Below are 27621 nucleotides of genomic sequence, written 5' to 3'. Positions count from 1 at the left end.
CAGGAAATTGTCCCCAAGCAGTTAGCCAGGGCAAACGTAGAACTCATTTTCTGAATTTCCCATCTCTCAGGGATCACAATTTTGTGCAACCTATAGTCCAGGGCCTGAAAATAGTTGCTTTATACTTTCCCCAGTGTTATGGTTATTTATAATGGGAATGATCATCTGATACCAGTTATTCCATCATGGTCAGCAGAACACGTTAATTTGATAACTACTGTAAGTCACAAAATTTATATTTATTTCTCTGGCTATCCTAGATCTAGGACAAATCCTCACATAGGCAGCTAATTTGTTATAATCAATAAGACCATAGTTACATAAGGAACTTTAACTGGTTGTTGGGTTTGTAGCCCTTTCTCTGAAATGCTGGCGAGGTTCCTTTTATTAGAATATTGACAAAAAAATCAGCTGCAAGTTTAATAAGGTTCATCCATTTAAAAAGTCAATTTATGTTTCTGCTTAACTCACAGAAATATACCTCAAAGGTTAATGATATTCAGTAACCAGTTTTGAAGTAAAATAAAATTAGTTTAAAGGGTTAAAAAATTTTAAGATATGTGATTGGTAATACTATTCTTGGAAATACAACATGAGTATTTCAACTACAAGGTCTTTTACCTTTTCTGTAAAGACATTGTTCTGATGATTATGGGACATAACTAATTATACTCTTTATATTCAATTAGTCGGTGTCCTTGTGCTGGTTGAATTAAGTACACTTTTAAATTGTAACTGCAGGCATATTTTGTTACATCAGCCCCCTGCCATCTGAGAAATACACTTAAAGAATGTACCAAATTTACTCTGGTTATATCCTTCCTGGCTTGAGGTATTCATGCCAAGGTATGATTACCACACAATGTCAGTGTTGGAAAGAAGAAGGAGTCTGCCCCTGAGAAATGGTTTTATGTCAATATTTGATTTAGTGTATCTACACTCCCTAGTGAGATCTCAGATGACTTAATTCTTTCTCATCAATGTGCCTGTTGAAGTGCAGACTTCTCAGGAGTAGTTGGAGATACTGATTTTTATTGTTTTGTGTGCGAGTTTCTCTCTTGGTTCTGAGTGCCTGAATTTAGTAAGATACACTTGAAGCCTGTCCCTTACAATGGCAATTACTGCATGTGTAATCTGCGTCTACTATACAAACTCAGCAGAAGAGCTTTACATCATTTGCTGCAAAGATGTTATACAAAGGCATTGCCTTGGGATATTTATGGACCAAACAAGGTGGCATTTGTGTGCTGGCTGTCACTTCTGATTGTATTTGAATACCTGCTTCTGAATAATAAAGTTCAGAAAACAGGCCGATTTGTTGTCCCAGAAAGGATACATTCAGCTGTTGGATTTTCTTTATTGCTTGGTTTGGCCAAGTAGGAAGTTGGTTTAAGGAGTCGCTGCAAATTTTAGTTATACTATTTTTGTCTTTGTTCCTAATTGTTGCTGCTGTCAAGTATGTTGTTAACAGGGTATTAATACTTTGGCAGAGCTACCAACTCATCAGTTCTAACCACAGATGATTCTGTATCAAAAAGAAATTGAAGTGACTCTGATAGAAACAAATCATGTGAGAATGATACAAAAAACAACATGGAGATGTAGAACTGGAAACCTGATAACTTGGCTAATATTTGTGTGGTCATCCAATCATTTTAGGCAAAGAAAAGAGCAAAAGAAGAGACAGTAAAAGGAAAAGATTCCATTTACAGCAGCACCTGCTTAGAAAATAATAAAGCAATGCCATCTCCCCTCAGCTATATCTGTTAAGAACTCTAAACTTTGAGTGACCCTAGTAGGGCAAAACTACTTGGCTGTAACTCAATAATTTTTCCTGACCTCTGAAAAATAGAACCTTTTAAACCAATTATGTAACAGTACTATGGATTCATTCTGACCTATCCAGAGTGCTAGTTTTTAATCCATAATGAACACAGCCACAATGAAACTCTACCTCCTAACATTTAAAAACACTGAAATTTCCCCCTCAGTGAACAACTTGTGAAACTTTTTCAGTGGTGTGTGTAGTAACTCAACCTTTTCACTTCTTTTCTTAAGCCTTGGTAGTTTTTGTTTTACATTAGAAACAAAACAAGAATACTATGTATGAAAACCAAAATTCTGATCATAGCAAATCCATTGTATTTAATGACTTTATCATTGAAATAAAAAATTTAAGAGGTAAGGAAACAAAGTCTTCAACCCAAGCTTGAAAAAATATAGCAAAAAGAAACACAAAGGCATAAATGAATACATTGGAAAGCAGTGAAACTGTGATAATACTTGTGAAGCGATTTGGGGCTCAGTACCTGTTGGCCAGGATTCATTATTGCTGCTTCCTTATTCTCCTCCAATGTATGTTCCATTTCACCTTGTTCCTGGCAGCTTCTCACAAGCTCTATTGCAGTTTTTTTTTTTGTTTTTTTGTTTTGTTTTGTTTTGTTTGAGACAGAGTTTTGCTCTTATTGACCAGGCTGGAGTGCAATGGCACAATCTCGGCTCACTGCAACCTCTGCCACCCAGGTTCAAGCAATTCTCCTGCCTCAGCCTCCCGAGTAGCTGGGATTACAGGCACCTACCACCATGCCTGGCTAATTTTTTTGTGTGTTTTTAGTAGAGACAGAGTTTCACCATGTTGGCCAGGCTGGTCTCAAACTCCTGACCTCAGGTGATTGACCCAGCTCAGCCTCCCAAAGTGCTGGGATTACAGGTGTGAGCCACCGCACCCGGCTGCTCTATTGCACTTTTTTTTTTTTACTGATAGCGTGATTTACCTGTTTAAAGAAACATGCCTTTGGGTAGTTTATTTTTATATTTAAATATATTTTTATTTTTATATATTGAAATGGTTATTTTTTTAATTTAGAAAGAAATACTTTTTTGTAAATTTTAAACCTTTTATTTGAAAATAATTTCAAACGTAACAAAGTTGCAGGTGCAGTACATGTAACACTGATGCAGTACTTTTAATAACCTATCATCGGTATTCTAATTTGACAATTGACTTGATAATGTGTTTTATAACTTTTTTTTTTTTTTGCGTTCTAGTATGGGATCCAGCCTAGGATTAGGTTTAGTTGTCATGATTCTAGTATCCTTTAACCTGGAATATTTTTCTTAGGGTTTGTTTTTCTGTCTTTTAAGAACAGGGTCCTCCTTTTTGGTAGCTGAATGTTTTATTTGGGGGTTGTGTGAGGGATATCACATTTGGTAGTGCCTGATTTCTGCCTTGTACAGTTACTATTTTTTTCGTTTCTAAGACCATCTCTGAGGAGACAATTTAAGACTGTGCATCCATTAATGATTCTTGCCTAGACTAGTTTTTACCCTAATAGTTACAAAGCTGTAATTTCCAATGCCAACACTCCCTCCATATTTTCCAGTCAGCACTAGGCATTCAGGTAGGATGCTATTTTATGAAAGAAAATACAGTATTCAGGTAGCAGTGAGAGAAGGACAGGCAAATCACTGATCCTAGTGTCACCAGAGCTATTCAGAGGTGCAGAGAGCTGTGAGAGCTTGGAGAAGGGAATATGGGGTGCAGAGTGGCAGAAGGCAAGGTTGGGGCTACATAAGCTTCCTCACCTGCCTGGCCAAGGTGTCTTGACTCGATTTTGCATGTGGCTGAGCTTATAAAATCATAACAACACAAAACCTACCAGCTGAGAAAAGAAACCTTATCAATTTTTAAAAATTTAAATATGGTAGTTCCCCTCCCCTGCCATCCATGGGGGGTTACATTCAAGACTGGTTGCCTGAAACCTTGGATAGTACCAAATCCCACATACTGTACATATGTTTTTTGCTATACAAAAAAACTGAAGATATGGTTTAATTTATAAATTAGGCACAGTAAGAGATTCATAACTAATAATAAAGTAGAACAACTATAACAATATACTGTAACAAAAGTTGCGTGGATGTGGTCTCCCGAAATATCTTATCGTACTGTACTCGCCTATTTTCAGACCGTGGTTGCCCCTGGGTAACTGAAACCTCAGAAAGTGGAACTGTGAATAAGGAGGACTACAGTGCTGCATCCACGTGTCCATATATTTAGTATTTTTAGAATAGATTGTCCATAAGTTAATTTTTTTTACCATATTCATAATTGAGGAAGTCTGAGCATTGCGTTAATATTTTTTAATGACAATAAAACCAGTAGCACTGAGGGCAGATCCTAAAGAATGAAGAAATTAAGGGCAATAAGGAAGACGAAGAGAGTCAGGGATGACTTGTAGCTCTGGTAAAGACAAGAGAGCTTTATTATCAGTGGCAACAGGGAGCCATTAGAAAACCATCTAATGTAGACCAGAGCTTCTCAAACTTCAGTATTCTGGGGATCTTGTTGTGATGCAGATTCTGATTCAGAGGCCCTGAGCTTTCTAGTAAGGAGGATGCTCCTGCCCCAGGACAATGTTTGGAGATGTTGGTCCTCAGAATGTACATTGTAAGTGACAGGTCAGGTGTGGATAAAGCAGACCAAGACAGCAGCTGAAGTTTTGTCCTAGAAATGGGTTGACATGATACCTCAGTCTTGATGAAATGAAATAGCCATCATTTAGTGATTCCTTTGGGAATTTGTCCTCCAGTAGTTCTGTTAGGGCCCAAAGATCCAGGTCTGCCTCAGTCTCAGGCACAGGCTACTATTTTTGAAGTTCTTTTCAGGAGCCAGATACTGTGCTTTAGTCACATCACCTCACTGAGCCCTCCAGACAGCCAAATGGAGATGACTTCCTTTTTACGGACAGGACATGGAAGCTCTGTGTTAGTGAGTACGTTGCCTAAGGTCATGCAGCCAGTAAGTTGCAGAACTCAAATCTGAACCCTTCTGACTCAGAAACTCTGCTCTTACCACATCTTAATTAAGTGCCCACCACAAACACATGGCTCATGAAATGAATGCCTCATGCTCCCTGCCCTCCAGCAGCACAGAGTCTAAAGGGAAGGATGTGTCACAGGTAATTACCATCCAGCCATGTTGGTGGAGAAGAGTACCACCAAGGTATTAGCTTTCCACTCTGCAGCCTTCTTTGGTTAGAACTGTTAAAAATGTCCTTTTACAAAGCAGAAGCTTGAACATTGAATAAGTTGGCATAACATGTTTAAAGGTAATAAATGATTACATCTACCTTAATTGTTTTCATTCCAACATATCGTGACAATTTTCTAATATAAAAGTTGAGAGAATGGCCGGGCGTGGTGGCTCACGCCTGTAATCCTAGCACTTTGGGAGGCTGAGGCGGGTGGATCACAAGTTCAGGAGTTCAAGACTAGCCTGGCCAAAATGGTGAAACCCTGTCTCTACTAAATATACAAAAATTAGCCATGCGTGGTGGTGGGCGCCTGTAATCCCAGTTACTCGCGAGGCTGAGGCAGGAGAATCGCTTGAACCCGGGAGGCGGAGGTTGCAGTGAGCCAATATCGTGCCACTGCACTCCAGCCTGGGTGACAGAGTGAGACTCTGTCTCAAAAAAAAAAAAAAAAAAAAAAAGTTGAGAGAATCATACAGTGAATATCCAGATGCCCGCCATAGTTATTTTTTACTATATATCTTTTGTTATATTTTCTGTCATCCCTCTATCCATCCATCAGTTCATCCACTTTTTTGATGCATTTCAAAGTTGCAGACATCAGTTCACCCCTAAATCGTTCAGCATACATGTCATTAGAGTTCAGTATTTGTCAATGGTTTTTTTTTTTAAATTTAAAACATACAACAAAATGCACAGATCTTAAGTGTACTATTCGATGAATCTTGACAAATGCAGACACCCATAAAACCCAAACCCTTCTCGAGATGAGAATATCCCCGCCATTCTGGAAGGTTTCCTCATGCCCCTTCCCAGTCAAACTCAATTCTGTTGCCTCAAAGGCAGTCACCAAATTAGTGATTCCTGTTCTAGAACATCACATAAATGGAATTAGCTTTTTTTTTTCTTTTCCTTTTAGAAGCCTGTGGTCTTAGCAAAGAGTTGCAAACATTCAACACATCCTTATTAGGCTCCAGCTATCTATCTGTAAGAATTTGTTTATAGGATATGTTTGTTTTAGTGGAGTAGCAAGAAGGCTTGAAGGACTGCCAAGGACACACCCTTCATACAAAGGCACCCACATCAACGCACTAGATGAGAGAGCATCACAATCCCATGTAAGGGCAGAGTAAGCCCCCCACCCCAGGCTGGGAGATTAATGGGTTACAGCAGTTGGCCCCAACCTAGGGATCTTTGGCTTCCAGGTATCCCCAGAATTACCTTTGAACTCCACTATTATTTTTAGTATTTCAAAATATCAAATTGAAATGATACATTAATCTTGCATAGGGCTGCACAGACTAACAAAAGTACTTTTTTTCTTTCTACTGTTGATTGTTATTGTAGAATTATAATAGCGAACATCTCTGGCATATTTATAATGTATCAATCACTGTTTCAAGCATTTCACATTTTAAATTTCATTTGATAATATCAGTAGCGTAACGTCTCATACATGGTCATTGTTTCTGTACTTTTTTAAATGAGAAAATGCATTTTTACTCTAAAAGTGTGGCTTGCTTGGTAGACTAAAAACCTTCAAATATGAGGCCTGTGGAGAAAAATAATGAAAGGAATGGCTGGACTAAATAGAGGCAAGTCGGCTGGGCGCAGTGGCTCACGCCTGTAATCTCAGCACTTTGGGAGGCCAAGGCGGGCGGATCACAAGGTCAAGAGATCGAGATCATCCTGGCCAACATGGTGAAACCCTGTCTCTATTAAAAGTATAAAAATTAGCTGGGCCTGGTGGCGGGTGCCTGTAGTCCCAGCTACTCGGGAGGCTGAGGCAGGAGAATGGCTTGAACCCGGGAGGCTGAGGTTGCAGTGAGCTGAGATCATGCCATTGCACTCCAGCCTGGGTGACAGAGCAAGACGCCGTCTCAAAAAAAAAAAAAAAAAAAAAAAAAAATAGAGGCAAGTCTCTCTTTGATTCTTAAGGAAATCTATGCTTGGGGAACCTTTGTTAACGTATTGAAAATGTGAATAGTGACATTACAGGAAGTTGAAGGTATAAATCGTAAGAAATTGGCACTATAGATTTGTGATTAATTTTTCTTGATTTTTACAAAGGCATAAGAGACTGGAGTTACGAGTTCATTTTCCTCTTGTTACTGAGGGGTCTGGGCCAGGGAGTCCGGTTTCTTCCTCTTTCGAGATTTAACCAATTGTGTGACCGTGGATGAGGCATTTGACCCCTTTGGGCCTCAGTTTCCCATGTGTAATGTGTAGTTTGAACTAGTCATCTCTAAAGCCCTTTCCAGGAATGAAAGTATGTGGTTCTCTGACGTTTGCTCCAAGATGCTCATCCGCTGAAAGCCTTGCCCTGGCTCCACGGGCTTCAGCCCTTTGAACAGAAGAGGGCGCCCTAAACATGGTGATTCCTTCCTTTCCCTGCGGGCCCTTTTGGCAATTCAGGTAGAGGACCGGCGCAAGTGTTCTCGTCAGGATTCAGTTGTCCAGAGGCCAGCATTTTCCCTGGACAAGGGGTAGCTAAGGCCTCAGAGGAAGCCACTGACTTTGCATCTTTCCAAATCTTGTGAGGTTGAAATTTTAATTATATTTTAACTATGGATATAATTGAAGAAGATGGAAAAAAGACACTATTGTAATTCCATAGTCAGTTACTGCTCTAAAATAAAATGCAGATAAGTAATATAGCCATTCTCGTTCTTGTTGACTGGAGGGGGTGGGGTATGGACGTGTCACGTATTGTCTCAGGGCTCTCAGGGCATGGCTTCATTCATTCATTCCATATTTTCCGAGGGTCTACTTGGTGCCAACTACTGTTTGTTTATAGCGTCAACCAAACAAAGCCCTTGTCCCCATTGAAGCTAATATTGTATGAGCATTTTCAAAATGGTGGGCTGAAATGGATCCTCAGGCCTCGAAATGCATGCATGGAGCCATATTTGAGCTAACTAAGGGTGTGAAGCTTCCATACACCAAGTAGTTTCCAAAGGAAACTGCCCAGGGACAGAACATCTGCTTATCAGGAGTTTTGCCACTAGCAAAATGGAGTAATTGGGAAAATGACTGTTGAACAAGTTAAATGTACAGGTACAACATTCTTTCTTTCTTTCTTTCTTTTCCTGAGACAGAGAGTCTCCCTCTGTCGGCCAGGCTGGAGTGCAGTGGCGCAATCTCCGCTCACTGCAACTTCTGCCTCCCAGGTTCAAGTGATTCTTCTGCCTCCACCTTCCAAGTAGCTGGGATTACAGGCGCCCACCATCATGCCCGGCTAATTTTTGTATTTTCAGTAGAGACGGGGTTTCGCCATGTTGGCCAGGCTGTTCTTAAACTCCTGACCTCAGGTGATCCACCCACCTCGACCTCCCAAAGTGTTGGGATTACAGGCGTGAGACACCGCGCCTGGCCCAACATTCTTGAAAGAAGGACAAGAAAGCTACCTGCATTTGTCCACACTGCTCAGTCTCAAGGTAATAAAGGGAGTGGAAGGCTATTAGCATTCAGGCAAACGCAGCAGCTAAAGCGCCTGTTATGGGCAACAGCACAGGCTGTAGAGTGAGGCTGCCCAAGTTTCAATGCAAGCTCTGCCACTCACCCTCTGGCTGAACTGGCGGAAATTTCTTAACCTGCATGAGGTTCTGTGGGTCATGTGGGGATTCAATGGGTCCACATATTTAAGCCATCAGAACAGTGGCCTCGCACACAGTAATTGCTCAGTAAATTTTCACCATACTTACCGATGTGATTATCAGTATAACCTTAAATTGGTCCCGTTCCTGATTTCTTTTCATTCTGACTAAATCCTTTTAAATCTTGGGTTAAAAGGCTAAATAAATTTGCTTAGCCAGAACAAGAGAAAGGTTTGTTGAGCATCTGCTATTCTACTGTTCTAGGAACAAGGATTTGGCAATAAATGAGATAGAGCCTCTGTCTTCTCAGGAGCTTACAGCAGACAATAAATACATTAAAAAGCAAACAAACAAGTTCAGATGTAATGGATTTGAGTAGTATTTCTCTCTTTGGAATGAATTATAACCACATTAAAATCTTACTTGTGATGTTCTTGATGCTACACATTCATGTAAGAGAACATCTTCCACTTAAGGAATTGATGTATGAATCCTAGCAAAAAACTGAGTAAGTCAGGATATCTTCTGGCTTTCTTTTCCAGTTCCACAAGATATAAGCAGAAACTGGAGATGCTACACATTCTCTTTTGGTAGAAGAGCATTGCACTTGACTACAACAAGATTTTAAGCCTGATTATTATATCTTGAATTGTATTTGTTCACAATTCAAACTGGCTAAAGACTGAATTCCAGGCTGATATTCTTAGTGTGGTTCCAGCAACTGGAAAATGGATTGTGTTTCCTTTCAGCCTTCTAATTCCTGGGTGAAATGAATATACAGTCATGTACCACATAATGACATTTCCTGACTGCATATATGACGGTGGTCCCATACGATTACAAATACTGCACATTCACTCTACCTTTTCTATGTTTAGATATGTTTAGAAACATGAATGCTGTGTTTAGATATGTTTAGACAAACAACTACTTAGCATTATGTTACAGTTGCCTACAGTTTTCAGTATAGTAACAGGCTGTACAGGTTTGTAGCCTAGGAGCAATAGGCTCTACCATACAGCCTGGGTGTGTAGTAGGCTATGCCATCTAGGTTTGTGTAAGTCACTCTATGATGCCATCTAGGTTTGTGTAAGTCACTCTATGATGTTCGCACAATAAAGTTGCCTAACGATACTTTTCTCAGAATGTTTCCCCGTCATTAAGCGACACATGACTGTATGTTACTGCTGTTATGTTTCATAGCAGCCAACCATCTTCAGCAGGGAGAGTTTCTAGTAGCCCAGACAGTATCTTTGTGCAAATTAGAAAAAGATGCCCCCTTCCTTAAGGTATTTTTCTGCCATCTACCTGAAATTTTTTATAATAAATATTCATTTCTACAAATATTCAGTGCACACCCTGCTCAACCATATCAAACAGCTCTCCTAATAGGTCTAATGAAGTCCTTCAAAGAGAGAAGCAGTACAATTTATATTATAACTTTATTTTTAATTGCCTTCTTTTTACCCTTTCGCCTTGTAACCAGTGTGACAAAACACAATCTTGTCGCCTCCAGGCAGACAAAAAGATGCATACCAGTGATTAGTAAGTCTATACCAGATCCTAGGAATTGAGTACATCCTTGGGAGGGGGAGGAGACAGTTAATATCTAGATGACCACAACAAACAAGGAAATAAAATTGCAATTCCCTCCAAAACACAAAGAACCCCTAAAACAAAACCAAAAAATGTCTCAGTCTGACCTGGCACTGGGCCATCTTTTTCAGCTGCCAGATTAGCTTTCCTGCTTTTATCCATCAATAGAAGGAGTATTGCTCCATTGTTTTGCAATTACAATGGTTCTGTGATCTCTTGAATCAAAATTGAACTTTGTCTTCTTGTGTGAGAGAATACAAGATCCATCCCATATCAGTTTTCTGGAGCTCCAGATCCATTCTCTAATGCTAGGCAGACATCTCTGCTAGACTGACCATTAGGCACTTTAAGCTGAGCATGCCTCAAACTCATCCCGTCCTTTCCCTCCCAAACCTCTTTCTCCTCCTGTAGTCCCCACATCTCCATTGACTTCCTGACTCTTCTCTCAGTTTCACAAATGATTAAGTACCTTCTTAGAGTTCCTTTCCCTTCACCTGACACACATCAGTCTCCACCACCTGCTGCGTGCTCTGCATGTGGACATCTGTCGGGATCTCTCTGTTCCCATTGCCTCAGCATTGGATGAAGTCTTGGGCCCTCGTCATTTCTCCCTGGGACTAATGCAGTGGCTTCTCAGCTAGTGTTTTAGCCATTCCCAAGTCTCCTCACCTCTTTTCAATTTTCTGCTCCCCTGTTATCTGAACAGAACTGGGACCATTTACCCGCACTGCTTATAAACCTCTAGTGGCTTCCTACTGCCTTCAGGATCAAATCTCCACTCTGTTCCAGTCTACCCCAACCTGCCACTAGTTTTAACCACTATTCACTGCTCTCCTTTCTGTTTCTCCTCCCTATCCCACGGTATTCCCTGCCACTTTTCACTACTTAAAATTTTAGAATTCCCTCAAAATGATGGGCATCAAGCCTCCTGTACTTCATGGATTGAATACCACCACGTTCTTCCTCTGGCAAACATTTTTTTAAAAATTTATTTATTTATTCATTTATTTATGACACAGGGCTCTCTCTTTTGGCCAGGATGGAGTACAGTAGCTCAGTCGTGGCTCACTGCAGTCTCAACCTGCTGGGCTCAAGCATTCCTCCCACCTCAGCCTCCCATAATGCTGAGATTACAGATGTGAGCCACCGCGCCCGTCCCCTCTGGCAGCTCTTATTCATCCTTCAGGTCCAGCACAAGTTGTCGCTGCTTCTCTGAAGTTTTCCCACCCCCACCCTCTTCCTTCGATTTTCCTAGCACATTTTATAAACTTCTGTCTTGATATTTTTGTCATGATGTGCTGCAACATGTTTCCCCTCCCAGGGGATATGCCCGGTCTCACTTCTTTCCCTAAGGCACTCAGGGCTGACTCGGTAAGGACTGTACTCAAGGGTTGGTTCAAACCTTGAAATGGGAAGATAAGGACAATGAGACAGGCACGTGGTTCTGCGGGCTGTTGAGCAACTCTTGATGAGCTTCAGGGACACAAGGGAGGAGACTGCGGGTGCCCTGGTGGCCACTAGTTGTTTGGACAGCTGGAAAACAGATTGTTAAAAATAAAAATTTTCATCAGAATGTTTTCTTCTTTTGTACACATGACATTCTGTGCTTCTAATGAAACTGGGCCTTTACAAAATGAAATAAAAGGATCTGTGCTATTATTGACTATAAAGTGATCATCTTTAAAAAGACAGACACTAAGAAAGAAATTACTAATTCAGTGAATTGAAAGTCCAGAGTTCTAGAATTGATTTATGGGTTCCAGCAAGGATCAGATATTTAAATGATTAGGTTTTTTATCATCTTCCAACTTCTTATTGTTCAAAATTGTTACAAAAATGAATTCAGGCTGGGCATGGTGGCTCACACCTGTAATCCCAGCACTTTGGGATGCCGAGGAGGGTAGATCACCTGAGGTCAGGAGTTCGAGACCAGCCTGGCCAACATGGTGAAACCCTATCTCTACTAAAAATAATAACTAAAATACTAGCTGGGCATGGTGGCACATGCCTGTAATCCTAGCTACTCAGGAGGCTGAGGCAGGAGAACTGCTTGAACCTGGGAGGTGGAATTTGCGGTGAGCCGAGATTGCGCCACTGCACTCCAGCCTGGGTGACAGAGCAAGACTCTGTCTCAAAAAAAAAAAAAAAAAAAAAAAAAGTGAATTCAGTCTTGCTTATATATTTTGAGTTCCGTAGAGTTCAACATTCTACTGAAAATATAAGATGAATGGGTTTCATTATCTTGCCTGCTTAAATTTATTGATGCAGGGGTAGAAGCAGGAAAAGAAAAATAAGAAGAAAAATAATTAATTGATGTGCAAGTTTGTGGGGTTTTTTTGCCAGGGAACAGATTTTTTTCAGGACTGTGTCTTTTTTTTTTTTTAAGAAACAGGAAGGTTATCTTGGATTATGACTAATTAGATTAATTTTAAAAACAAAATATATATTAATTATAAATATATTCATTTATATAAGAAATATATTTATATATTTATAAATACATTCTGTTATATTAGTGTGACAACATGCTATAATGTATGTAGACAGCTAACAGCCATTTATCAGGGGTTTACAGTGTCCTGCTCAGCTGAACCCCTGGGATTCAAAGGGGAGGGACCCTGTTCCTGGACCCAAGATGCTCATAGTCTCATTGGGGAAATGACGAGGTAGAAAAAAATAATCACAAGGCAATGTAGTAAGTGTAAAAAGGCCTTTAACATTCTGTTGGCGTGCAAAGTTCAATCAGATATTCTCTGCTGATGCAGAGGCACATGTCACAAAGGGGGACACAAGCTGGCTCCAGGTGTGGCCAAAAAAGTGTGCAGTGATGTTCTCTAGTCTATTTTTTTTTCCTTTTTCTCTATTCTGGCTTCTCAATATGATGTCTAGTCTAATCAAGCAAATTCACTTATAAGCAGGTGAAAGTTCAAGAAAGGGGCCTCAGAAGTCTTCTGGTTTGGCCCATTCCTTTGTGATGAAGGTTCTAGACATAGGGACTGGGGTTTGTGTGAGGTCACCCAGGTGATTGCACAGCGCCAGCCCTCAAAGCCAGGTCTAGGGCTCCATCCCACTTCCCAAGATGCCCTGAAGTCTTGAGGTGTCTGCTAGGAAAGCGTTGCATTACTGGGCCAGGTAGAAACCAAACTCTAAAATCAATGCTGTAGAGAGATGCTTTCAATTTTATTTTAAAACTGTGTTTTGATTACATTTGTCATTAACTTTTCTGACTTAGGAAAGAAGCTTCATATTACAACAGGCTGACATGTTTTTAGCTCAAGAGTGGAGACTTCTGTCAATCATGTGGGATCATGAATGCCTGAAAGGTTGGAGGTCCATGCGTTGACCAAGAAGAACTCCAGCTGCTTCAGATTGCTTGATTGTCACTGAAAAGTACACTCAATATGAAGAAGATTGCAGTTAACTGGAGATTAAAATTAGATGTCTTAATAAGGCAAATCATTTCAACGTATGTCTTCCCTTTCTTTGATTTCCTCTCATGTGTATTATAACACCTCTTACTAGAGGGCTCCAGAAGGAACTGCTCTCACCCTTACCTGCACTGTTTTGTTGAAAAGGAATGTTTCTGATTTTATCTCCTCATTTTTACTACTTCTTCTTATCTTTTTTTAAAATTTTATTTTCATGGTATGACACGTGAAAGACCTCAGGGCTTTTGGCATGTGTGTTAGCCAGAGATGTTCTACAGTTTCTTTAGTGATATAAGACAATCTTCTTTTGGAGAGTGTTTCAAGCACCGAAGGCTTAATATTGCCATTTTCACATTTGGATGGCATTTTTCCAAATGTCTTGTGAGCCTTGCCAGTGGTGGCAAGCTGTAATTGGTCAAAAATGAAAGTGAAAACTTAATGAAAACTAAGTTTCCAGTCTCGTCTTTATGGCCAATTTCCCAGGTAACCTTGAGGCAGTCCTCATTGCATGAGGCATAGTGGGAATGATAATAGCCCACCTATGGATAGGCTTGTTGTATGGCTAAATGAAGTCACAACTGCAAATGATCTCAACTTCTTAGAAAAGGATGGTATTATGGAGCCGTGACAATTACAGCAGCCAAGGCTCTGATTGTTTGTAGTGATATCTGCTCTGGTGTACTTTGTCTTGTCTGTTTCATTATAACCAGCAGCTTTTTAAGGGAAGTCACAATTGGGTGCAATGATGCACTTTCCTTACAACTATTCTTTAACATTCTGGTCCTGTTATGTCCTGGTAGGTTCATTCCTGTATTCCACAGTGAAACCTTCTGCTTCAGAGGGTGCCTCATGACGTAGCCTAGGACACTGGTCTAGGTTGATGCATATTTTTAATGTCTTAGAAAATGGAAGACAGGATAAGTAAATGTGGGCCACGGAAACCACGTTGTTTGTCCATTTCCACTCTAGGAGACTTGACTTCAACAACCTGAGCAATCCTGAGGCTTCTGGACAGTTAGTTGGTTTCAGAATCCCCACTATGCTTCTGGACCATTCTAGGGCAAAGGGGTTCAGGCTGCTGCTGCTTCTCCTTCTCCTTCTCCTTCTTCTTTCTTCAGACAGAATCTCTCTCTTGTTGCCCAGGCTGGAGTGCAATGGTGCGATTTCAGCTCACTCCCGGGGTTTCAAGTGATTCTCCTCGCTCAGCCTCCCAAGTAGCTGGGATTACAGGCGCCTGCCACCATGCCCGGGTAATTATTATTATTTTTTTTTGTATTTTTAGTAAAGATGGGATTTCACCATGTTGGCCAGGCTGGTCTCGAACTCCTGACCTCAGGTGATCCACCTGCCTCGGCCTCCCAAAGTGCTGGGATTACAGGCATGAGCCACAGCGCCTGGCTAGGCTCAGGCTTCTTTAAAGGGACCACATGACAACTGCGTGAGGAAGGGACTTTCGTTGACTGTGCCCTCGACTCCTAGGATTTCCCAGTATTTTTCTGCCAAGACTTCTCCCTGGAGCTTAGCCGCCTGGCCTGTGCCTCCAGCGCTCGGCCTTAGGTCCACAGTGGCAGCACCTCATGAAGGTCATTCTCCATAGAGGCCCCTCTCTGGTGGCAGAGTCACATACTGCAATGTATGACCTGGACTTTCAGGAACACTGCTGCGGGGAGAACACTGTGAAACCATCAAAGATGTGTTGTGGGCATGTGTGCAAGCATCTTTAACCTCCCCTAGTGTGCTGTATGTCCCTAAGAGAATGACATGAGCATGAACTTGAATTCATCACTAAGCAGACTAGTGATCACGAACTAATCCCCACCGTGTGCCAGGCTCTGTCTTCACTCCTCACAACCATCCTTGAAGTGAGGCGTGTTATCCCTTTTTACTGATGAGAACACTGAGACCTGGGTGAAGGAAATAAATAAAACAAGGACTCTTACAAGAGAGAGAAGAAAAACCAAAGTGTTTCTTCCTCCACGCTGATACACATGTCACTCAACACAACACTTCTGACACCTGGGGTTGGGGGTGGGTTCCCACACACACGAACCAATTCTCTGTGGACTCCAGCTGGGCGTCCTATAATTCAATTCTGACACTATTCACCTGGAGAATCAGATCCCACAGGTGGAGGGCTTGGTCCCACAAGATTGCCCCCACTTCAGGTGCCAGTTGCACATAGTAAGTTGTCACCTCTACCTCCACTGGCCAGCTCAGATTTGGATTTGGGGCTCCCATGACGTCCTCCTTAGGTTTGATTAATTTGCTAGAGCAGCTCACAGAACTCAGGGAAACACTTTACTTGCATTCACCCATTTATTATAAGGCTCTGGCAAGGATACAGTTGAGTGGCCAGCTTAAGAGATGTGTGGGGTGAGGTGTGTGGGAAGGCGCACGAAGCTTCCCTGCCCTCCCTGGGCTCACCACCCTCCAGAACCCCCAAGTGTTCAGCTATCTGGAAGCTCCCCAAACCCAGTCCTTTGGGTTTAGGGAAGCATCATTACCTAGCCATGACTGATTAAATCATTGGCCACGGGTGATCAACTCAGCCTTCAGCCTCTCCCGGCTCCCTGGAGGTCAGGGGTGGGGCTGAAAGTTTCAACCTTCTAATCACAAGGTTGGTTCCCCTGGCAACCAGCCCCCATTATGAGGCCATCCAGGAGCAAACCACGCGTCGGGTCCTGAGAACAAAAGATGCTCCTGTCACTCAGGAAATTCCAAGGGATTTAGAACTCTGTGTCAGACGCCATCACTGAGGAAATTACAAAGGCCTTAAGGAGCTCTGTGTTAGGAACCAGGGGTCAAACACCAAATATTACAACAATAGATTCTCATCGTGTAGAACAATGGATTCTACATACATTTGTGTGTATTATACATCTCTCTCTCTCTCTCTCTCTCTCTCTCTCTCTCAATACATCACTACATCATATTCTTCTCTAACAAAAATTGGCGTATTTTCCAGAGAAAGTCAAGGTTCCTCCTATATTGGGTCCCCTTCTTCCACCTATCCCCAGGGAACAGATCTTAATAAACAATAGCATAGGAAATCCACACCAGCCTCAGCATCCTTTACATACGTTGGTTAAGGAAGGGGCTGAGGGTGGTAAGCTAGCAGTTGGAACTGAGCTTCATTCAAATGCCATTCTCTGTGTAAACGTTACCCTTGTAGCTGCATCTTTTTGCTTCCCCAACTAAAATTCTAAGATGAGAGTGAAATCTTTAATTGGAAGCTTGAAACCTAATTATTTGGATATTTAATTTGATTTCATTTTAATTTATCCCTAGTTTTATTAAGGTATAATAGAGAAATAATAATTGTATATATTTATGTTGTACAATGTGATGTTTAGATATATGTATATATACACTGTGAAATGATTAAATTAAACTAATTAACATATTTGTCACCTCACATACTTACCATTTTTTGCTGTGAGAATATTTAGATCGACTGTCTTAGCAATTTCCAAGTATACACTATTATTAGTTATAGTCACCTTGCTATACAATAAATCCTTTATACACTTCGACCAATATCTCCCCATCCCTGTCCCCAGCCCCTGGCAACCACCATTCCATTCTCTGCTTCTTTAAGTTCAACTTCTAAAAATTCCACATGTAAGTGAGGTCATGCAGTATTTGGCTTTCTGTGCCTGGCTTATTTTACTTAGCATAATTTCCTTTATTTGGGTATTTTATATCTTGCATTGTTATCTATCTTTTATCTTTTATCATGCCCTGAGGAAGATATTCTGCCCTAATAGTCATTACATAGAAAAAGAAACTAAGGGATAAAGAATATAATTACTTTAATATTTTTAATTAGGCCTTTTAATAGGCACTCAAAAATACTAACATAGCACAATGAGATCACTTATAGTGCTGAGAGATATTTTTTACACTTTATCCCACTCATTTTTCACAACTGTTAAGTAGGGAAGGCATGCATTGGCCAGGTGCGGTGGCTCACACCTGTAATCCCAGCACTTTGGAAGGCCGAGGCGGGTGGATCAAGAGATCAGGAGCTTGAGACCAGCCTGGCCAACACGGTGAAACCCCCTCACTACTAAAATTACAAAAATTAGCCGGGCATGGTGGCAGGTGCCTGTAATCCCAAATACTCGGGAGGCTGAGGGAGGAGAATGATTTTGCTGCCTCAGCAATCATTACATGTGATGGGTCACATGATGGATCACATTACATGTGATAGGTCACAATGTAAGTGTAAGAAAATGATTGCTTGTTGAGAACATAGACATTCACAGTCAGGAATGATGGTGATGCCAGGGAACCACAGATTGTCCACATGGGTGGCTGAGAGAGTGGCATCTTTGCTTCTGATGGTTCAATGCACACAAACTTAATTTTATGCAAAAGTTATTAAAATATTGTATAAAATTACCTTCAGGCTATATGTATAAGGTGTGTCTGAAACATAAGTGAATTTTATGTTTAGGCTTGGGTTTGATCTCCAAGATATCTCATGATGTATATGCAATATTCCAAAACTCAAAAAAATCTGAATCCAAAGCACTTCTGGTCCCATGCATTTCTGATAAGGGATATTCAACCTGCATCAGTTTTCCTGTTTGTTTCCTTTGACTTCTCTTCCACACTGCTGGTTTCATCATATGTCTGGTCGGTCCTCCCTGTCTGTTATGGAAAGGATTCTGTGATTTGTGTGGATTTCCTATCCTTCTGTGTAGGAAGGCCTGTTTCCTGGGGATAGGTGGAAGAAGGGGGTTTGTCCAGGGCTTACAGATAAGATTTCACTCTAGATCGCTTCTTGGCCTTTTGGTTAAGTTCAAGTGTAGAATCTGTTCTTACCAGTTTAATATGCTGATATGTCCTTTATCTGAGGACAATATAGTAAATGGATTTTTTGAGCAGGGAGATGGAATAGGAGCTTGCTCCATCCACTCCACACATGGACCTGGTATTGAGTACCTCCAGGAATGTTCAACCCTCGGGGGATATTTAAAAAAAAAGATTTCAATCTAGAGGCTACAGGCTGCAGATGCTGGGGGTGATCACATGAGAGAGCTCTGCTGCAGGGAACGATATGTGAGAAGCCTTGGCTTTCTCCAGCCGCTCACTCAACTTTTTGTTAGAGAAGAATTCTCTGGTTTGTCTGCACTTTTTTTCTCTACCTGGCAATAAATGAGGATGTGCACTGTTCCTTCACAAGGGCGTAGAAAGAGGACTGAGCTCTCAGGGGGATTCCATACGTAGAATTTTAATTCGATCTCCCCAGTTTTCAGCATAATTTTTCACTCTTGCTTTCCACTTTATGTGCCAGTGTCAGATACAGACTTTTTTTTTTTTTTTTTGAGATGGGGTCTCACTCTGTCGAGCAGGCTGGAGTGCAGTGGCACGATCTTAGGTCACTGCAACCTCTGTCTCCCAGGTTCAAGCGATTCTCCTGCCTCAGCCTCCTGGGTGGCTGGGATTACAGGTGTGTGACACCATGCCCAACTAATTTTTATATTTTTAGTAGAGACAGGGTTTCACCATGTTGGCCAGGCTGGTGTCTAACTCCAGGCCTCAAGTGATCCGCCTCCCTCGGCCTCCCAAAGTGCTGGGATTATAGGCGTGAGCCACCATGCCTGACCTAAATTACATATTTGATATGGAATTAATATCCAAAATACACGGAGAACTCCTAAAACTCAACATCGTAATAAACAACCCAATTCAAAACTAAGCAAAGGATATTTCTTGGAAGAAGATATACAAATGGCAAATAAGCATTTGAAAAGATACTCAACATCATTAATCATTAGGGAAATGCAAATCAAAACCACAATGAGACTCTAGTCTGGCCATATTTTAAAAAATTAAAAGGAAAATAACAAATATTGGTGAGGAAGTGGAGAAATTGGAACTCTGGGATAGTGCTGGTGGGAATGTAAAATGATGAAGCTGGTGTGGGAAACAGTTTGTCAATTTGGCAGGAAGTAAAACGGGATTACCACGTTATCTGACAATTTCACTCATAGTTATACACCCAATAGAATTAAACACAGCTACATAAATATCTGTACACAAATGTTCATAGCAGCACTATTCACAATAACCAAAAGATAGAACCAACCCAAATGTACATCAACTGATGAATGGATAAACAAAATGTGGCATATGCACACAATGGAATATTGTTCAGCCATGAAAAGGAATGAAGTACTGATACCTACTACAATGTGGATAAGCCTCAAAAACAGTATGCTAAGTGAAAAAGGTCAGACATAGAAGGTCACATATTATATAATTCTATTTATATAAAATATCCAGAATGGGTAAATTCATGAAGACAGATTGATGGTTGCCAGGGGCTAGAGGGAGGGGAGAATGGGGAGTGACTGTTTAATGGGCATGGTTTTGCTTTTGAGAGGAGAGTCATGAAAATGTTTTGGAACTTGAAAGGAGTGGTGGTTGCATAACACTGTAATATGCTAAATGCCACTAAATTAGGTACTTTTAAAAAATGGTTGATTTATGTTATATGCATTTCACCTCAACAAAATAATAAAGGAGCTTAAAAGAAAAAAACCATGTCAACCAGGGCTGCAGTAGTCTGATGCATTGCTTGGGCCTGGAGGATGCAATTTCAGGGTGGTTCACTCACATGGCTCTTGGCAGGAGGCTTCAGTTCCTTGCTGGGTGTTGGCAGGAGGCTCAGTTCATTGCCATGTCTGCCTCTCCATAGGGTGCAGGGCTGTGTGAGTGGACCGATTACACATTAGCTGGCTTTCCCCAGAGATAATAAGGAAAATAGAGAAGGAGCAAAGAGAAAGCCACAATGCCTTTTGTGACCTACCCTTGGGATCCTAACACTGCCAGTTCCACTGCATTCTTTTCATTAGAGGTAACCCACTAAGTTCAGCCCACAATCAAGAGGACAGTTAGGATTCATAGTTTAAAGGGAGCAGTATCAAAGTATTTGTGGCTATTTGTGAAAACCACCACAATTTCTTTTTATATGTTCTTGGGTTTCATTTGTTAATATTTTGTTAAGGATTTTGCATCTTTGTTCATGAGAGCTATTTGTTCAGTCTTCTTTTCTTTTTTTGAGACAGAGTCTCGCTCTGTCATCCAGGCTGGAGTGCAGAGGCATGCTGTCAGCTCACTGCAACCTCCACTTCCCAGGTTCAACATGATTCTCATGCCTCAGCCTCCCAAGTAGCTGGGATTACAGGCATGTACCACCACGCCCAGCTGATTTATTTTTATTTTTATTTTTGATTTTTAGTAGAGATGAGACATGGTTTTGCCGTGTTGGCCAGATTGGTTTCAAACTTCTGGCCTCAAGTGATCCACCCACCTTGGCCTTCCAAAATCCCGTGATTACAGGCATGAGACACTGCACCTGACCCATAGTCTTCTTTTCTTATGATGTCTTTAGCTTTGGTGTCAGGGTAATACTGGCTTAATAAAATGAGTTGGAAATTGTTCTTTACCTTTCTATAATACTTATTTATAGAATTTGTGTTGGATTGTACTAGCCCATTCATTTTCGTTAAATGTTTGATAGAATTTACAAGGGACTTCATCAAACGAATTCTGGGGAAACAATCTGGGCCTGGGATTTCCTTGTGAGAAGATTTTAAATTACTAATCCTAATGGATAAAATTACTAACTATAACTGATGTTAACATATTCAGATTTTATGTTATTTTGAGTCAGTTTTAGTAGTTTCCTGGCTTGGAATTTGGTTCATCTAACTTGTTTAATTTATTGACATAAAGTTGTAATAGTTCCTTTTAATTCTTATGATTTCTGTTGGGCATGCAGTGATGCATCCTCCTTCATCTTGATTATTTTGGAAGTTTATATCTTCATTCTCTTTTTCTTGTCAGTCTAGCTAAACAGTTATCAATTTTGTTGACTTTTCAAATAACCAACTTTTTATGTTTCATTGATTTTTCTATTGTTTTTATTTTCTGTTTTATTGATTTTGGCTCTGGCACAGTCTCGGCTCACTGCAACCTCCGCCTCCAGGGCTCAAGTGATTCTCCTGCCTCAGCCACCCAAGGAGCTGGGACTACAGGCGTGTACCACCATGCCCAGCTAATTTTTGTATTTTTAGTAGAGACGGGGTTTCACCATGTTGGCCAGGATGGTCTTGATCTCTTGAGCTCATGATCTGCCTGCCACGGCCTCCCAAAGTGCTGGAATTACAGGCGTGAGCCACTGTGCCCAGCTGCTCTGATCTTTACTAGTTTCTCTTTCCATTTAGTGTGGGTTCGATTTGTTCTTCTTTTTCTGGGTTCCTGAAGTGGAAGCATAGGTAATTGATTTGAGACCTTTTTCTTTTAAAATATAGGTGTTTAGTGCTATAAGCATTCCTCTAAGTATTATTTTAGAGGCATTCCATTTGTTTTGACATGTTGTGTTTTAATTTTCATTCAGTTTCAATATTTTTCTAATTTCCGTGATTTCTTCTTTGATCTATGGGTTATTTAGAAGTGTGTCATTTAATTTCCAAACCTTTGGATATTTCCAAGATTTCCCTATGTTATTGATTTCTACTACATTGTGATTGGAAGAAGTAAGTTTACTAAAACTATCCAATTTAAAATAATGTAAATAAATTGAACTGGTGTTCCCTAAATTTTTTTTTAACTTTTATTTTAGGTTTGGGGGTACATGTGAAGGTCACGTAGGTAAACACGTGTCATGGCGGCTTGTTGTACATATTATTTCATCACCCAGGTATTAAGCCCAGTACCCAATAGTTATCTTTTCTGCTCCTCTCCCTCCTCCCACCCTCCCCCATCAAGTAGACCCGTGTCTGTTGTTTCCTCCTTTGTGTTCAAAAGTTCTTATCGTTTGGCTCCCATCCTAAAGTTTAATGTGCACATAAACACCTGGGCATCTTGTTAAAATGCAGGTGTTGATTCAGCAAGTCTGAGATGAAGCCCGAGAATCTGCATTTCTTTTTTTTTTTTTTTTTTTTTTTTTTTGAGACGGAGTTTCGCTCTTGTTGCCGGGGCTGGAGTGCAATGGCGCAATCTCGGCTCATCTCACAAGCTCTCACTGCTGCTGGTCCTGGGGCCATGCTGAGTAGCAAGATTTAAAGATGATGATAATTTTCAAAATACATAGTATTTAATTTCTTAACTCCATTTGTCTTGTGATCATTTCCAATTTATTATTTTTAGTAATTATTACTACACATAAGAGTGTCTATTATTGGCCGGGTGCAGTGGCTCATGCCTGTAATCCCAGCACTTTGCGAGGCCGAGGCGGGCGGATCACCTGAGGTTGGGAGTTCGAGATCAGCCTGACCAACATGAAGAAACCCTGTCTCTACTAAAAATGCAAAAAAAAATAGCCGGGCATGGTGGTACATGCCTGTAATTCCAGCTACTCGGGAGGCTGAGGCAGGAGAATCGCTTGAACCCGGGAGGTGGAGGTTGCGGTGAGCCGAGATCGTGCCATTGCACTCCAGCCTGGGCAACAAGAGCGAAACTCTGTCTTAAAAAAAAAAAAAAGTGTCTATTATTATAGTGCATTATAGTGCTGAGAGATATTTTTTACACTTTATCCCACTCATTTTTCACAACTGTTAAGTAGGGAAGGCATGCATTGGCCAGGTGCGGTGGCTCACACCTGTAATCCCAGCACTTTGGAAGGCCGAGGCGGGTGGATCAAGAGATCAGGAGCTTGAGACCAGCCTGGCCAATATGGTGAAAACCCATGTCTACTAAAAATACAAAAATCTGCCGGGCGTGGTGGCGGGCACATGTAATCCTAGCTACTCCAGAGACTGAGGCAGGAGAATTGCTTGAACCCAGGAGGCGGAGGTTGCAGTGAGCCGAGATCGCCCACTGTACTCCAGCCTGGGCAACAGAGCAAGACTGCATCTCCGAAGGAAAAAAAAAAAAAAAGCATGCATTTATTTTATTACCTTTCCAGGGTGAGGAAACTGAGCCTCGGAGAGGTTGAGACTGGCTTGACGTATTTCACATTTCATCATTAGACCATGCTCCTTCCTTTTAATGATATTATATATTTGCGAAGCTGACTTTCCAGTGTTTGCTGTGACAAAAAAAAAAGTACCATTGAAGGTCCGTGGTGGTGCAGGCAGTGAAGGTGTCAGTTCCAACCAGACTCCGGATTTGAGAAGTTGTGGAGTGCCCAGTAGGCACGTTCATATTTAACTTATTTAAGGATGTTTATTTTAGGGGGAAGTAAATTTTTTAGGAGTTATGTGTATTTTTTCAGTGGCTACTAAATACTTATGTTGTATGAACCTAATAATGGAAGTTTGGGGTATTCTTGTTGGCCTAGGAGGTGCTGTGAAAAATTACTGAGATGCTCAGGGTGCAATGAGCTGAGAAAGTTTGGGGAATTCTACTATAAATAAATAATCCCACCATATATATGGATCCATATATATGTCACATGTAGATATCTTTATTTTTGCATGTAAATATATTTATTATATTACACATCTTTAGCCAGGTTTCACTTTGGAGTTCATAATTTTCTCTGTTTGCTCACATACATTACTCTATGAATTAATGAGTTGTCTTGGAATTGAAGCATGTTAGGGGAGGGGTATGTGTCTTTTCTAGGTTTTGCAAGTACTTGCTGTAGAGTCTCATATTTTTGTGGGTGTTGTCCTCAGGGATATGGTGCCTTTTGCTAATTACACTGATGCGGAAACAGAAGAAGAAATTGCTAAAAGCCACAGGGGAGCAGGCAGCTGAACCAAGGAGCACATGAAAAGCAGGTTTCTCCAGACTCTGCCACACCCTTTGGGAAACTTATTAGGGGGAAAAAAATCCTCTAAGTCTTTTTTTTTTTTTTGAGTCAGAGTCTTGCTCTGTTGCCCAGGCTGCTGGAGTGCAGTGGCGCAATTTTGGCTCACTGCAACCTCCACCTCCTGGGTTCAAGCAATTCTCCTGCCTTAGCCTCCCGAGTAGCTGGGATTACAGGTGTGCACCACCATGCCTGGCTAATTTTTTTGGTATTTTTAGTAGAGACAGGGTTTCACCATGTTGGCCAGGCTGGTCTCGAACTCCTGACCTTGTGATCCGCCTGCCTTGGCCTTCCAAAGTGCTGGGATTACAGGTGTGAGCCACCATGCCAGGCCAAAAGTCCTCTAAGTCCTTGTAAAGCTTGATTTATGGCTTACTTTGGGGCAGGGAGATGAAACAAAATTTGTCATGAGAATTTAAGATGTCAACCTAACTAATTTATCAGGGCTTTCAGCTGCAACAGAAGGGATAACAACTAGCCCTTCAAATGCTTGATAATGTGCCTAAGTTCAAATCAAGATGGAATCTTCTTGGATATCAATTTTTTCAACTTGAAGCTTCCCTATACTTATAAATCTTGATTGTTTTGTCTGAACATGAACAAGACTTTTGAGCATTGATTTAGTATAATGTGTGAATAAAACTAGGTAATGAAAGCTAGCGATTTTTTTTAGTTTTATTTTATCTATACTTGACACATAATTCTACATATTTATGGGGTACAGTATGATGTTTTAATACATGGTACATTGTATAATAATCATATTAGCATAATTAGCACAATTAGCACATTTATCACTTTAAGCATTTATTATTTCTTTGTAGTGTTAACATTCAAAATCCTCTCTTCTAGCTATCTTGAAATATATAATACATTATTATTATTAATAGTTATAGTCACTCTATTGTATAATAGAACACCAGAACTTATTCTTCTTAACTGTAACTTTGTACTGGTTGACCAACCCTCCCCTCCCCAGGATCTGGTAACCACTATTCTCTCTGCTTCTATGATCAACTTTCTTAGATTCCACATGTTGCTGGGTGCAGTGGCACATGCCTGTGGTCCCAGCTTCTTGGGAGCCTGAGGCAGGAGGATCGCTTGAGGCTGGGAGTTCTGGGCTGTAGTGTGCAATGCTGATTGGGTGTCTGCACTAAGTTCGGCATCAATACGGTGACCTCCTGGGAACAGGGGACTACCAGGTTGCCTAAGGAGGGGTGAACCAGTGCAGGTTGGAAACGGAGCAGGTCAAAACTCCCTTGCTGTTTGGAGTGGGATTGGGCCTGTGACTAGCCACTGTACTCAAGCCTGGGCAACATAGCAAGACCCCATCTCTAAAAAAGGAAATTTTAAATTTTTTGTATAAACTAATATTTTTAATAAAATAAATTTTTTAAAAAGGAAAAAATTTAATTAAAAAGCTAAAAAATAGATTCTACATGTGAATGAGATTACTCAGTATTTGCCTGAAAGCTAATGATTTTAAAAGTCCAGAAAAATGGTGCCTGCTGTTCTCACGATGGCGTTTTCTGCCAGGGCGTGAGCTAACATCTGGCAGACAGTGCCCTCTAGAGCTGTTCCGAGAATGATAACGTAAATACAGATCCCCGAGCTCTGCCCCTCTCAAACTGAATCAAAAGCGCGGGGCATGCAGCTCAGGTTTAAGTATTTTAAAAGGGCCCCCAGATGTTTTAATGCACATCCAAGATTGAGAACCACTGACATAAAGCCCTTTGGTGTTTAATACATTGAGTTTCTCATATTTCTAAATTTTCTCTTGAAATCACACTTCAGAGGACCTTGATAACCGGCCTTGACTTTTTAAAGTTTTTAATTTAGATTATTGGTTAATACACACTTGAGTCAACAGGTTGAAGGTTAATTCTACCCCCAGGAAAAAAGTAAAACTTTTTTGGTTCAAGAAGCCCAGCTCTTATCTTACAGGAGAACATGGAGAGAAATGGCATCAGCCTATTCAGAACTCTTCTGCCCACCTAGCCGGAATCAGCAATTTAGCATGCAGTCATAGCCATAGTTCACGTCTACGAATCGGTCAGCACCTGGGGGGCTATATCTTTGTCTTAGGTCTCCATGTTGCCCTCTGCAAACCTCTGTATTGCACTTGGTGAGCAGAGTGCAGAGCGGACCCTACAGCCCTCACCCCCATGACTGGCGCCTTTGGGAAGTGCCCACCCTGCCCAACCTTACCCTGCAGTTCTCCTAGGCCCAATAAAATCTCAATTAATATTCATGCATGCACTAGTGTATTCAACACATATTTGCTGTCTTTTGAAGAAGTGGGGCCAACCCAATTATATTTTCTGCATTATAAACACCTTCCAAGGCTCACCTTCTCTCTCTACCCCTCCATTTCTGGTCCTAGTTGAGGTCCTATCGTCTCTTACCTGGGCACCTGCAGTGACTCCCTAATCAGACTTGCTCCTTTTAGTCTCATCCCCTTCAAACCCAGCCCACACACTGGCCAGAACCATCTATTTAAAACTCAGATCTGGAGAGTGGGGAGGGATAGCATTAGGAGATATACCTAATGTAAATGACGAGTTAATGGGTGCAGCACACCAACATGGCACATGTATACATATGTAACAAACCTGCACGTTGTGCACATGTACCCTAGAACTTAAAGTAAAATAAACAAATAAATAAATAAAATAAAATAAAACAACAACTCAGATCTGGCCAGGGGGCTAACCCCTGCTCGACACCCCCCAGGGGCTCCCGCCACTATGATCTGCAATGGCTGGTTAAAAGGGACTAAAACTTTCCGGGGCTGGTCTCTGACCACTTCCTTAGCAGCCATCCTGTTGCTCCCAACCTCAGGGGATCCTTGAGCAATGCTGATTGATGGCTTTGCACACAGACCCCTTACAGGGATTGTTTTAATCACCTGCTATTCATCCTGCTGGTGAGAAAGGGATTCCTGTTCCAGGGTTATGGGGATGGCCAAACACAGGACACCTCACACTGGACAGATGAGATGACGGCAGTTTATAACTCACATTCTGGATCAGAACACAGCATAGCACGCAGGGCCACAGGGGCTACACTTGGGAACAGAGTGAATAGCCAGGGTCTGGAGTCAGGCTTTGTGCTATCAAAAGGGTAGGGTGATTCCTGATTCCTGCAGCAGAATATGATGGGCTTGTTTGAATAATTTCTCAGGCTGACAGGGAACT

The 27621-nt window shown here is 41.2% G+C and overlaps 2 long non-coding RNA genes and 2 pseudogenes across 3 annotated transcripts; 3 read left to right on the top strand and 1 right to left on the bottom strand.

The window, feature by feature from the left end:
• Window positions 1–4242: 4242 nt before the first annotated feature.
• Window positions 4243–16287, bottom strand: LOC124904876 (uncharacterized). 2 transcript variants are annotated; one of them, XR_007067544.1, is made up of 3 exons: window positions 16158–16287; window positions 11628–11758; window positions 4243–4507 (listed from the first exon to the last, which is right to left on the bottom strand). It is a non-coding gene; the product is annotated as an uncharacterized LOC124904876 (long non-coding RNA). The 2 variants fall into 2 exon arrangements; XR_007067545.1 differs by lacking the exon at window positions 4243–4507 and adding an exon at window positions 4524–4737.
• On the top strand, window positions 13153–13684 carry LOC105372551 (uncharacterized). Its single transcript, XR_937302.3, has 2 exons — window positions 13153–13357; window positions 13458–13684. It is a non-coding gene; the product is annotated as an uncharacterized LOC105372551 (long non-coding RNA).
• On the top strand, window positions 18435–18622 carry RNU2-56P (RNA, U2 small nuclear 56, pseudogene; annotated as a pseudogene).
• RN7SL14P (RNA, 7SL, cytoplasmic 14, pseudogene) lies at window positions 25463–25760 on the top strand (annotated as a pseudogene).

This window comes from Homo sapiens, chromosome 20, assembly GCF_000001405.40.
Source record: "Homo sapiens chromosome 20, GRCh38.p14 Primary Assembly".
Classification (NCBI taxonomy): Eukaryota; Metazoa; Chordata; class Mammalia; order Primates; family Hominidae; genus Homo; species Homo sapiens.
This window is presented reverse-complemented; position numbering and strand designations above follow the sequence as displayed.